This window comes from Homo sapiens, chromosome 1, assembly GCF_000001405.40.
Source record: "Homo sapiens chromosome 1, GRCh38.p14 Primary Assembly".
NCBI classification, from domain to species: Eukaryota; Metazoa; Chordata; class Mammalia; order Primates; family Hominidae; genus Homo; species Homo sapiens.
Genome location: NC_000001.11, coordinates 6809927 through 6823150, shown reverse-complemented (window position 1 = coordinate 6823150; position 13224 = coordinate 6809927). Strand labels below are relative to the sequence as shown.

The 13224-nt window shown below is 40.0% G+C and overlaps 1 protein-coding gene across 36 annotated transcripts in view; it reads right to left on the bottom strand.

Annotated features, from left to right (window-relative positions):
- The window catches only part of CAMTA1 (calmodulin binding transcription activator 1), a 984253-nt gene that overhangs the window by 946556 nt on the left and 24473 nt on the right, over positions 1-13224 (bottom strand). For 24 of the 36 annotated variants that reach the window (XR_001737064.2, XR_001737062.2, XR_007057950.1 and 21 more), the window contains one exon: positions 2901-2970. The exons of 11 other annotated variants lie outside the window; for them this stretch is intronic. Coding sequence is in view for 21 of the 25 variants with exons in the window: in XM_011541084.3 (XP_011539386.1) it covers positions 2901-2970 (70 nt within the window). In the remaining 4 variants the exon portion in view is untranslated. Of the gene's footprint in view, positions 1-2900; positions 2971-3680; positions 4071-13224 lie in introns of those variants that run through there. One more of the 36 variants, XM_047416009.1, reaches the window with a different exon arrangement.

The window sequence follows — 13224 nt, the reverse complement described above, 5'->3', positions numbered from 1 at the left end:
CCATGATATGTACAATTCTGAAAATAGAGGTGAAATTCTAAAATCTATACTCAATTCAAATATTCAACATTTACAGGTACCTTTTATGAAAACGGCACTATACTGGTTGCTCAATGGATGGGCTTGCTCTGAATTGTATATGAATAGCCATATCTCTGAGAAAGCTATCAGTTTGAAGTACAATTCTGAACACTTACGAGCAGAGTTTTAAACCCCAGCTTCTATGTTTGTGATCACAATCTGATGTTAATTTTCTGTTCTTTTAGCCTCTTCGAGGAACCCAGCTACTGTGCGGTATATAAAGAGTGTGCGTGTGTGTGTGTTTGTGTGTGTGTGTGTGTGTGTGTGTGTGTGTGGTATTTATGTAATAAAGGTACTCTTCTCAACAGCACAATTAACTGCTATAGAAAAGGCTTCAGTCTTCCACTCTGATACCAAATCAGGCAGTGGTAAATGTGACCAAAGGGCAGGGCTGTGTAAGCACTCTCTCAATCTAGTTTCTAAACATTACACTTTACACGGAGGTGTGGCCACAGAGTCAAAAGGAACAGGAATATGACTGGCCAGTGGGTTCCCCTTGATCAGTTTTTAAAGTGTACCATTTCCAGAATTTTAGGTTCACGCTGAATATAAACTGGATGTTTTTAAGAAACATAACAATGGGTAAATTTTCCTACTACATTATAAGGATTGCGAGTTTAATACTGAGAAAAGAATTACTGGAATTTCAAATAGGCAAAATGTTAAAACTCATATTTTTAAATTTCAGTGTTTCTACAGGTGAAGTGGGATACAGAGAAACTTTGATTTTACACTGGAAAAGAACTTTACATGGCTATACTGCATAAAAATCTGTTTTTAAATTAAAATCTGCTTTTTAATGTTTTGGGATAACTAAGAATGATAAAATAACTAAACACATGCACCAGTTTTCAAATCCTAATAATAGTATCTTGAGTGAACAGTAAAATTAAGGCATATACTGGTTTCCACTGCATTATTCAGTATTCAATACAAATAGTTGAACTTTGACACTGAAAAGTGGGAGTGTCAACCAAATGACAGTAAAACACTTCATTATCATTATCTAACAAAATATATGTGTATGGTATTAGACTTTACAAAATAATTTTCTAACCTACTTCACAATAAAAAAATAACTAGTGAGGCTCTTGAAAATGACAGATGATTTGCTTGACTGACAACTCTAATTCTAAAGAACGAACCATCCTTTCTAGTCAACCTACAAGGTGTAGTATAATATAACTTTCCAATATGCAAAAAAATGCTCATTCACTTAGACAAAAAGCAGAATTACTGTTTTCATGTTTTGTTTCAAAAAAATGAGATTCACATTGCCAAATCCTTTACTTAAATCCAAAGAAATGTATTTGACCTTTTCCTTCGAAAATTCTGTGACTTCTGCCAAGGTAAATTATAACTATATTAACTAATCTAGAAATGATACATTCATTTTACTTTGATTCATAATAAAAAATAATGTTGGTTCTATGAATAATGATGAACACTGTTATTCATTCAAGTTGATTACGATTAATCTTTCAAACTCTAGACCAAACTGTTCAAACAGTTTGGTATAACAGTGTATCAAATTGCTAAATCTTATTGGGAATATCTTTGATCAACAACATGGAGTAGTAAAATCAAAAGGAAGCTCTACAATTTTCTGTTTAGCTCTAATTATTATGTGCTTAGATTTAATTAGTAGGATAGGAACTGAAAACATAAACATATATTGTTATATTCAAGTCAGCATAATGCTCACAGCAGCAAATACAGCCATTACTAACCTAAGGCCTTCAAATCACCATATATCCAAAATACATATTAATTAAGCACTATGTGCCAAACACTGATCTGATTTTGCATTATTCTTTTCCAAAGTCTCCAAAGTGAATTAAACCCAGTAGTAATTCTACAAAAGATTTTTAAAAGGTTAAAGAAACAGAAACTAACAGCTTTTTAAGTAGAAAAATATAATTAGTTTTGCTATTTAACAATCCCCTTCTTGTTCTTAGAGTTGTGTGATGATCAACTTACCGCTTCTATTTTTAGGTAGCCCAGATTTACCTTTTTCCTGTTGATCATATTACAAAATCTCGGGTCCAGGCTTAGGTCAAATCATAACTCAGGTTCAATAAACTTCTCACTGTTTATCTACATTTACATTTTCAATCTAAAAATATGTATGAGGGAACAGATAAAGTGAGGGCACAGCAGCCCTGTAAGCCATCACTTCAATTTGGGTTTTGGGACATTCTCTCCTCCTCTACTTCATTCAATTCCAACTGGAGGTACATGTGATTAAGTAAATCTATTTTCCATTATTTATTAGGGAGTAAGCACTTGTGGGACTCTACTGTGTATCAGGCACCCAGAAAGGATCTTACATTGCACTCTTTCATTTAATCCTCACGATAAAACACAAGGGCTTAATTACTCCCATTTTACAGAGGAGGAACATGAGGCTCAGATTAATTTGCCCAAGATCCACAGCTGCTGAGTGGCTCAGCTGGGATTCAAACATGACCTGTGGCTTTTCCCAAAATACCACACTGCTCCTACTCTAAGTCACCTGGTATTGGACACTAGAATTACAGAAGTGTTGTATTAGTATCAAACATTTGTTAAGTGCTTTGATTTCTCCGTGTGATTAAATCTTTTGCCTTTTTTCATCTCCACAGAAACTTTATGAGGAGAGCATTCTTTTTGCTACCCCAGAAGGATTAAGTAACTCATCTAAGATCACACAGCAGTTAAGTGCAGAACCCAGGTCTTCTGAGTCCGGGCTGAAGGCTGTTTCCACTGTACTAGATGATAATTACTGCCACTGCCAAGCCCACCCCTTCCTGTAAGTCAAAAGCTTTTTCAAATCCTACCTTCTATAGGTGGCACGGTGTTGAGAACACAGTAGGTGCTAGTTCCGCAGAATACACTTTGGGAAACGCTCTAAGGAAACAGAAAATAAAATGTAAAACTAATCTTTCAAAAAGATATAATCTGGCTCTTCTGTGATATTCCTGCCAAGATGCAAAACCTGAATCTAATCATGAGGAAACATCAGACAAATCCAAATCAAGGAACATTCCACAAAATGACTGGCCTGCAATCCTCAAGAGTGTCAAGGTCATGAAAGTCTAAAAGGACTGAAAACTCTTCTGTATTAAGAGATTGAAGAGACAACCAGTTATGACCCAAGGTTCTGATTAGATATTTTTCTACAAAGGCCATTGCTGGATCAACTGGCAAACAGCAACAGGACTTTAGGACTGGAGAGTAGGAATGTCTCAGTGTTAACTTCCTGGTTGTGATTACTGTTCTTGTGGTTATGGAGGAGAATGTTCTTGTTTGTAGGAAGTACATGATCAAGTATTTGAGAGTGATGGAACTTATCAGCAATTTATCCTCAAATGGCTCAGGGGGAAACCGTTCTTTGCACTGCAAGCTTAAGGCTGCTTCAAAATTTTAGATACATATGTGAGAAAAGGTCTGTGCTGATGAACATGCATAACTTGTGTAATTTGTTTAAATGGGAAGTATGTGTGCTGTACATAGAGGAAATTTTTGCTAAGAACCAATGTCATATTCATTTTGAAGCTCAGTCAACACCAACAACATTTTTAACCATTTCCCAACAATAAACCCAACACCCGACTCACCCAAAAAATGTGCAGAGCGCCAACTAGTATTATGGCATGGCAAGTAAATCAAGGGGAATTCCGTTAACAGGAAAGAAACAAGGTCTCTGGCTGTCAGGCTGCTTCACTCAGATAAAATTAAAGATTTCACCTAAAACCTACACAACGGTAACTTTTTAAAAAAAAAGAAAATTTTTTGAATATTGACGGCCAATTATTTTCAGTCCTAAAAATATCTTTTTTGTTTGGCTGCAGTATTAAATAAAATTTTAGATTATTCATCCTACATTATAAACCACATATTTATACACTTAGAAAACCAAAGATAGTTTACAAGTTCAACAACCACCCTCAACATTTTATATTTAAAAGCTACCAGGCATGGTGGCTTGTGCCTGTAGTCTCAGCTACTCAGGAGGCTGTGGTAGGAAGATCGCTTGAGCCCAGGACTTTTAAGGCTGCAGTGAACCATGATAACACCACTACACTCCTGCTCCAGCCTGGGCAACAGAACAAGGCCTCATCTTTAAAAATAATAATAATAAATAAATAAATAAATGTGGTGGCTCATGCCTGTAATCCCAACACTTTGCGGAGCCAATGCGGGTGGATTATTTGAGCTTAGGAGTTAAAGACCAGCCTGGATAACATGGCAAAACCTCACCTCTACCAAAGATACAAAAATTAGCCAGGCATGGTGGCAACACACCTATGGTCCCAGATACCTGGGGGGACTGAGGTAGGAGGATTGCTGGAATCCGGGAAGTTGAGGCTGCAGTGAGCCATGATCACACCACTGCACTCCCGCCTGGATGACAGAGTGAAACCCTGTCTCAAAAAATTAATTAATTAAAATAAAATATAAAGAGTTCAGTTCTAACATTTACTAGCTGTCCTTAGGAAAGTAATTCAACCTCTCTGTACTACCTCATCCAAAAAGGGCGGGTGGATACTTCTCTCTCCTTCTCTCTGAGGCAGGAGGAGGATTAGGTAATACATACCCAAGTGCTTTCAATTCAAAGGTACCACCCAAATACAAAACACTATTGTTACCATAGTTAATGAGGGTGAGCTTTAACAATGTTAACATTTTCTAAGAACAAACAGGATTGCCTGAGTTATTTATTTGTTGTTATTTGTTTGTTTGTTTGTTTTGAGACGGAGTCTCACTCTGTTGCCCAGACTGGAGTGTAGTGGTGGGATCTCAGCTCAGTGCAACCTCTGCCTCCCAGGTTCAAGTGATTCTCCTGCCTCAGCCTCCTGAGTAGCTGGGATCACAGGTGTCCGCCACCATGCCTGGCTAATTTGTGTATTTTTAGTAGAGATGGGGTTTCACCATATTGGCCAGGCTGGTCTCGAACTCCTGACCTCAAATGATCTGCCAGCCTCGGCCTCCCAAAATGCTGGAATTACAGGCATGACCCACCGCGCCTGAGTTTTTTATGCCAAAAAATGTTGCAATCTGACTAAAGTTGACTTCCAAGAATTATTAATTTTCCTCTCCCTTATGCCCATGATCAAGTGCTTCAGAAGTCAAATTGTTTTCAGGGTCCATATAAATAAAGTCTTTCTCTATAATGTGACTCCTAGCTACCAGGATAACCATGAGCTCCTTAATTCTTTCTTTTCTATTTCTGTAAAACTCTTGTTCTAGGACTGTTTCCCTCTCCAATTTAACCAATAGTAGTATACTGAGCTAGGCACAGTGGCTCACGCCTGTAACCCCAGCTACTCAGGAGACTGAGGTGGGAGGATCACTTGAGCCAGGAATTTGAGCCTAAAGTGAACCATGACCATGCTATTGCACTCTAGCTTGGGTGACAGAATGAGACCCTGACACAAAAACAAAAAAAGTAGTTAACTATGATAACATCTGTGGTAACAGTCATGTCCAAGGATTCACCCTATAGACTAGACAAGGCTCGGAATTCATGTATCCTTTGGAAAATCCAACATTACTTTCTACCCATGACTGTGAGCATGGAATCATCATACCTTAGGAAAAGTGGTTCATGGGAAGATCTCCAATAGGGGAAAAGTCAGCAGCACGCTGACTTCTTGTAACATCTTTAAGAGTCACCAGTAACAGCCCACTAATCACATGAATGTAATACCTCATTTTAATTTAGTTTCTGAATTAAAACTTGAAATTTTACGATGTTAAAAATAATGTCTTACATTCAAGGCTTAACATTTCCTGGCTTCCTATTATCAAAAACTGACGGTATAAGATTACCATTTGAGATATCTTAACAATGGTCTTAGGTGAAAAGTTTTTAAAAATCACTTTGGTTCAGTGGGACACACTAATGAATAGCTTCATAAAAAAGGATTTTTATACCCAACTTCAAAGTCTAACAATAAGTAAATCAGTGACAGAATATCTGAAATAACAGGAAGAACTTGGCACTAAAATAACATATGACACAGAAATATCATAGACAAAAACCAATCACACTCTCTCCACAGCACTGCATAATGAAGTCTCCATAGTTAACTAGGAAAGAAACCAAAGTTAAAACTGAAATCAAGTCATTCTATCTTTGAAAACCATAGGTTCTCAAAACAAGCCAAAGCACAAAAAAACTTCCATGATAAGAAAGGGCTACCTTGTACTAGATACCCCTGTGCCAAACACTGGGCCAGGAACTTTCACAGGACAACTTCGTGTTTTGATCTCCCTCTAGGCGCCTGTCTGCAATACTGGGGCGGCTCTGCCATAGAGGGAGGCGGGCTGGCCTTAAGCACCTGCAGAGCCGCGGTGGTGTGTTCCAGTCCACCACTCACTACTAAGAAGTCCGGGCAAATCAGTGAGCCACTGTGTCCACAGGACAACACAGTGGAATGGAAAAGCACAAGCTTTCAAGTCAGATCTGGGTTCAAGTCCTTCCTCAGAAGCAGGTCTTCAAGCACCTCCCCCGCTGATTCTGCACTTCAACTCAGACCCCTCACCCTTCAGGAAGCCTCTCGCCCACAGGGTACCTTTAGAGTAGCCTGTGTTTTCCTCTCACAGAACACATCCTTCTTTATGGTAGCTCCTTCCATTTGTTCTACAACTATTAAAGGAGCACCTAACATGTACCAGACACTGTTCGCAAGCTGGGACACAGCACTGAACAAGACAGACAAGGGTCCTGTCCTCTTGGAGATACATTCTAGTGGGGGGAAGACAGATGGTAAATGGGACACTATCCAATAGGGGTAAATTCCTATAAAGGAAATGAAATGGAGTGATGCATTACTGTAAAAATTTGATAGGATGTTTTTCATTGTTTCTGAATGTACAGCCATGGTGGAGTGGAAGGAATACTTGATTAGAGCATGAAGAAACCTGGATTCCATCATTAATCAAATCAATGGTTCTCAGCCTTAGCCAGTCATCTAGTGAAATCTCCAAAACTCTGATGCCCAAACCAATTACGTCAGAATGTCTGGGGATGGGACCCAGGCCTCAGTATTTTTTTAAAGGTCCCCAAGTGATCCCAAGATGTATCCAAGGTTGAGAACCACTGAAATAAACAGTTGTATGACTGGGCAACTCTCTGACTTCCCCAGTTTTCTCAAGAGTCAAATGAGTAGTTGACCTTGAGCAGAACTTCTCCAAATGTAATGTGCATGCGGGTTATCTTAGGATCTTCTTTCAATGCAAGTTCTGATTCACAGGTCTGAGGGAGAACCTGAGATTCTGCCTCTAACAAGCCCCCAGGTGATGCCCATGCTGCAATTAATGGCCACACCTTGAGTATCAGAAACCAGATGATCAAACTAAAAGATCAGGAATTAGATAAATGATCTATAAAAGATCCTTCCAATCCTAACATTCCTCAACAGCATAATTCCACTAATTCCTAGAAGATTTAAAAAGTACTTTCATCTGTTAGTACATAATACAAAACTATACCAGAATATCCACACAAGATAATTAGTAGAAACTCTAGGGATGGTTACTCAAGTATAGTGCCCAGTTTCTGCTGGAAGTACCCAAGAAGGCTGGGCATGGTGGCTCACACCTGTAATCCCAGCACTTTGGAAGGCCAAGGCGAGAGGACTGCTTAAGCCCAGGAGTTCAATACCAGCCTGGGCAACATGGCAAGACTCTGTCTCTACAAATATTAAAATATTAGCCAGGTGTGGTACTGTGTGCCTGCAGTCCCAGCTAAATGGAAGGCTGAGGCAGGCGGATTGCTTGAGCCTGGGAGATCGAGGTTGCAGTGAGCCATGACAGCACTACTGCACTATAGCCTAGGCAACAGAGTGAGACCCCGTCTCAAAAAAAAAAAAGAAATACCCAAGAGGAGAGATGCAGAGCTCTATAATATATATTCCCTGTTTTCAAAAAGTATACTATCTAATTGAAACAATACTTTTAAAAAAAGGTAATGAAAAAATAATATATGACTTAAAGGTTAAAACAAGGGACAGATGATAGCAGTATGGAAATTCAGTAACTACCTGGCTATCAAGCAGAAACTCTTTGAAGCCATGGACTATGTTTTATTCATTTTGTCTCCACTCAGAGAACCTAGATCAGGATGTTACACACAGGCACATTCATTGTATATGGATAATATATACATATATTAGAGTTTTTGGAAGATGGATTAATGAAACAAGATGCTATATAGTAAGAAGTGATTACAGGCTTTGGAACAGAGAAACAGCATAATGAAAAGTGTATTTACCGTTCTTTGAAATAAAGACAAAGAATATTTAGGTCTCCACAGAATTAAAGCCGCGCCTGAATCTTAGCACCTTTACTACTTAGCACCTTTACTATTTTTTAAAAAGAAAAAACTGTAGATACGACCTCTCAGTCCAGTTTTGCTTAGCATCCTAGGCATCGTGCCTAGATAGTTAGGGAGGCTAACTGTATAATGGCTCAAATACCAAAAATGTTCACTTCTTGCTCAGGTAAAGTCCAAAACAGGTGCTCCTGGTGGGCAGACTGTTCTCACAGCAGTGGCTCTGCTGCCTGTGCTCCTTCTACCTTGTGGCAGAAGACTTTCTAGGTCACTAGGCCCTCTGCATCAAGCCAGATAAGGAAAAGGCATGATACCCATGCCTCAAGAGTTTCAGGGGCCAAGTCTGGAAGTGGCACACTTCGTTGCTCTCACCCCACTGGCTAGAATTTGGTCACGATTCCAAGGGGGACTGGAAAATGCCCAGGAAGAGGAGGAAGAGAAGGAGATGGGTTTCATGATCAACTAGCAGTCTCTGCCACAGTATCTTCTGTAAACTGCTTTTTAATTACAAAATAGTTACTCCTTTCAGAAATGTCCTCTGCTAACCTACAACTCCATTTTCAATCCCTAAGGCCATTCGGGATCTAAAACCAATCTAGGAGGTTTCCTTCTCCAATAAATATTTTCCTAACATACTCAAAATGAGATTTTATCAAATGCATCCTTGAAAGGATGTCTGGCTTGTTCTTCCCAGTATCTCTGGTAATACTTAATACAATGTCTGGTACATAACACAAGCTCAAATTACTTATAGAATTCATAAATTAATAACCAGCCCCTAAGTTTATGGAAAGGAAAAATGGTCCCGTCTCTCGTCCTGGTGATGGTGGTGGAATTTACTAAAAGCCTTCTGTCGTTTTCAAGCACATCTCTTCCTATAAGGCCACCGAATTGCCACTCATCCTCTTGGTCACTTTGATTTGCTATGTCTTGGTACTGTGCCACTGAGACAAAAGCAAGAGACTGAACAAGCAGTGGCTCGAACCTGTAGTCCCAGCTACCTGGGAGGCTGAGGCGGGAGGACTGTTTGAGCCCAGGAGTTCAAGGCTGCAGTGAGCTGTGAGCTGTGCCACTGCACTCCAGCCTGGACAACAGAGCAGGACCCCATCTCTAAAAAAAATTTTTAAAAAGAAAAAACTGTAAATACGACCTCTCAGTCCAGCAATGTTGCAGATATTTTTAAAGAAAGGAACCTTATCCCTCTATTCATTTGAGAAATCAAGGAATATGATAAAAGCTACTTTAAACCTGCTTAAAAAAAAAAAAAAACTTAAAAGGAGTAGGGGGAATACTCAACAGTTTTCAGAGATACCAAGAAAACCAAACTAAAACTGGGGGCTAGAGCACAATTAATTATTTAATTAGTATTAATTTATGAATAATAAATGAAATATCAATTTATTAATAATAAATAAGAAACAGCACAAGGTCTGTCAAAAGACATGTTTCAGAGACACTCCCTAAAATCAGGTTAACGATTTTATGAGATGGGCAATTCAACATGTACCCCAAGCCCAAGTAACTTTATTCTTTTTCTGAACCACAAAAGGTTAGTGTGGGAAAAAATTATGTGCTACAGTACAAAAATATTATGTGCTCACATATTACCACTTTTCAAGAAGTTTAAAATATGCCATTAAGTGCTACTATACTATAATAACCCTCACAACTCCCCCATGGGATAGAGACAAAAATTAAAGTATACAGTCAAGTTAAAAGGAAAAAGTCTGGTAGGTAGCCGACTTCCTACTCCTGGGGCAGGCTAAATAAAAAAATGAAACAGTAACCTCTAAGGTAATTGGGGCACAAACCATTTTAGGCTCTCAAATTGAGTTCAACACCTAGAATTGAGTTCAAAAGCAAACAAGTAGCTGGAACAGACTACAAAACAGTTCAAGTTCTAAGAGGCTGACACAGGAACTAATATTACAATATATCAAGCCAGATTTATGGCCTGAGAAATCAGATTAATTGATTCTCTATTACCAGAGATGCACGTAAAGCATGTTTAAAGTGATTTTACAGTTTTTTTTAAATTATTCTTTCTAGATATGAATCACAGTATCATTAGAATTTTCATAAATTTAATTTGGCTTGGAAGCCAGTATACTCAAAGTCTGAAAATAATCAAAGAGCACTTACTAAATGTCCACATTTGTACAAATAGATTCAACTAGAATACATTCAGTAAAAAAAACTGTATAACATTTAAAATGATATTGTTTCAGTAGTACTTATTGTTACCCATACTAATGATAATTTTGTTTAACTCCTCAGAGAGAGCATTGTAAAATATCAACAAAATCAACCCAACAAACTAGGCATTCTATTCAATATTATGTACGTATAACAAGCATTTTCATATATAAAATCTTATTTCGATCCTAAAAGGTAGCAAAGCACACATTAAGCCTATTCTAGAAATGGAGACACCAAGACATGGGTAACAAGGCACTGGGCAAAGGCCACAAGCTAGGACGGGGCAGAATTAGAACCAGACCAGTTCTCCCATACTACTGTGTGATTTCCACAAGAAAACACGGTTCTCTCCCTAATAATGCAGCAACGCTTCTCCACAAAGCAGCAATGCAAAAATGCGGGCAGAAAAAGTAAGTACGATGCTCTGAGAGAAAGCTAAGGCAAACGCTCCCACTGAGGAACACCGAGCAGGTTAGCTGGGAGGGAGACATCCTGAAGGAGAAGAGAGCGGTGGAACAGAATGCTACCACATACACCTAGAAGGTGATCTTGTCTAAAGATCCTCCATGCCTCTCAAACATTTTTTGGTCCATGAACCACAGACCACCATCACCTATCACTACTTGCTACTGCCCAAAGAACTAAAACCTCATCAAAACTAAAGAAGAGAATGACACTGTTTCTCGTAACAGAGCAATGAGGTGGACGCCAAGAAAATGGCAGCCACAGCCCCGGAATGGAGGTCGGCTATCTGGGAACCTCCCTTAATCCGAACACAGCCAGAACTAGGAAGGAAGCCAAGAACACTCTGAAGGCCAAAAGTGAATTTTACGAAGTCCATGCACAAAAGCTTATGTACTCCACTGTGAGAAGAGTTTCTCCGACCCACATTCGTAGCTTGATTACTATAAAACTACTCACAGCTCTAATATGCTTCATTATCAGGTTGCCAAGCCCAGAGATCAGAAGCAACAAATCGGAGGGGAAAAAATGTAGCTCAAAACTGACACACAGAAGCAAAAGAGTGACAGGCAACGGCAAGGTGAGATTGTTTTTTTAAACAATAAAAATGGGACACAAGGATTTGAAAGGTATAGCAGTTTGGGGTCATTTATCATAAAAGTAAACTCTCTACTCCAAAAACCCAAATCACAGTGTTAAATAAAGCCCAGTTTAATAAGCTACATACAACATAATGAACCCAAGTTATTAAGGAAAATGTAAGTTAAATTCCATGGGTTCTACTTAACATAGAGAAAAAGGTAGCACCGTTTAATACCTTTTGTTTGCATATTACTTTGTAGTCTATAAAACACTTCATATGAATTACCTCATTTGATCCTCAACAAAACCATAAGGCAAGAGGGCAGATACCTCCACTGGCCAGGAATTGGCTGGTAAATAATTCCATTTTAGCCAGACAGATGGATTTATCGGTGGCAACTGTAACACAGAATGTTCATTTGTCTAACAGGAGAGAGCACATAGAAGGCACATGAAGACAAAGGGCACAGAAGGCCTCCTGAGAAGCGTCACCACCTGACTATCCCAACTTTCAACTGGAACTGCACTTCCAAAACTTCCGCCTCTGAAAGCTCCCGTTTTTCCATCTGCATCCTCCAAGGCCTCACCTGAAGAACTGTTATAATGCCTTCTAATCCCGTCACCACCCCTCTACGGTGGAGGACAAACTTTATGATGGACCTCCTATGATCCCCACCTCTTGATGTTAACAGCTTTTTTTTTTGAAACGGAGTCTCGCTCTGTCACCCAGACTGGAGTACAGTGGCACGATCTCAGCTCACTGCAAGCTCCGCCTCCGGGTTCATGCCATTCTCCTGCCTCAGCCTCCGGAGTAGCTGGGACTGCAGGTGTCCGCCACCACGCCCGGCTAAATTTTTGTATTTTTAGTAGAGACGGGATTTCACCGTGTTAGCCAGATGGTCTCGATCTCCTGACCTCGTGATCTGCCTGCCTCAGCCTCCCAAACTGCTGGGATTACAGGCATGAGCCACCGCGCCCAGCCACTGTTAACAGCTTTGTGTAACCCCCTCCCCCGGAGTGTGGGCTGGACCTAGCAAGTTGCTTCTAACCAGCAGAACATGGCAAAGGTAATGGGCAGACTGTGACTTCTGTCTTGCTAGAGACTGTCCCTCCTGGCTCTGATGAAGCAAGCTATGGTGTTGCAGAGGCCCCTGGGGCAGGAATTGAGGGTAGCCTCGGGCCAACAGCTGGCGAAAAGCTGAGCCCTCAGCCCAACAGCCCAAAGAAAGGAGTCCTTCAAATGGCCAAGGGAGCCTGGAAGTGGATCCTCCCCTACCAGAGGTTTCCAAGGTGAGCCCAGTCCTGGCCAGCACCTCGACCACAGTTCAGCAGTCCCAATCCAGCAGACCCAGCCCTGCCCTGCCCAAATGCCTGACCCATGGGAACCAGGAGATTCCACCCTGGGCTGTTTGAAGCCACTGGGTTTGTGATGATTGGTTACAGCAGCTATAGATAACTAATACACTCACAGCCCATCAGGCCACAGTGGTTTCTTTTCTCATCTTGGACTGGATCAATCATTTCACCATCATTTCTACCAGTACTCTGTATATGCCACCACGGTTCTGAAATAATCATCC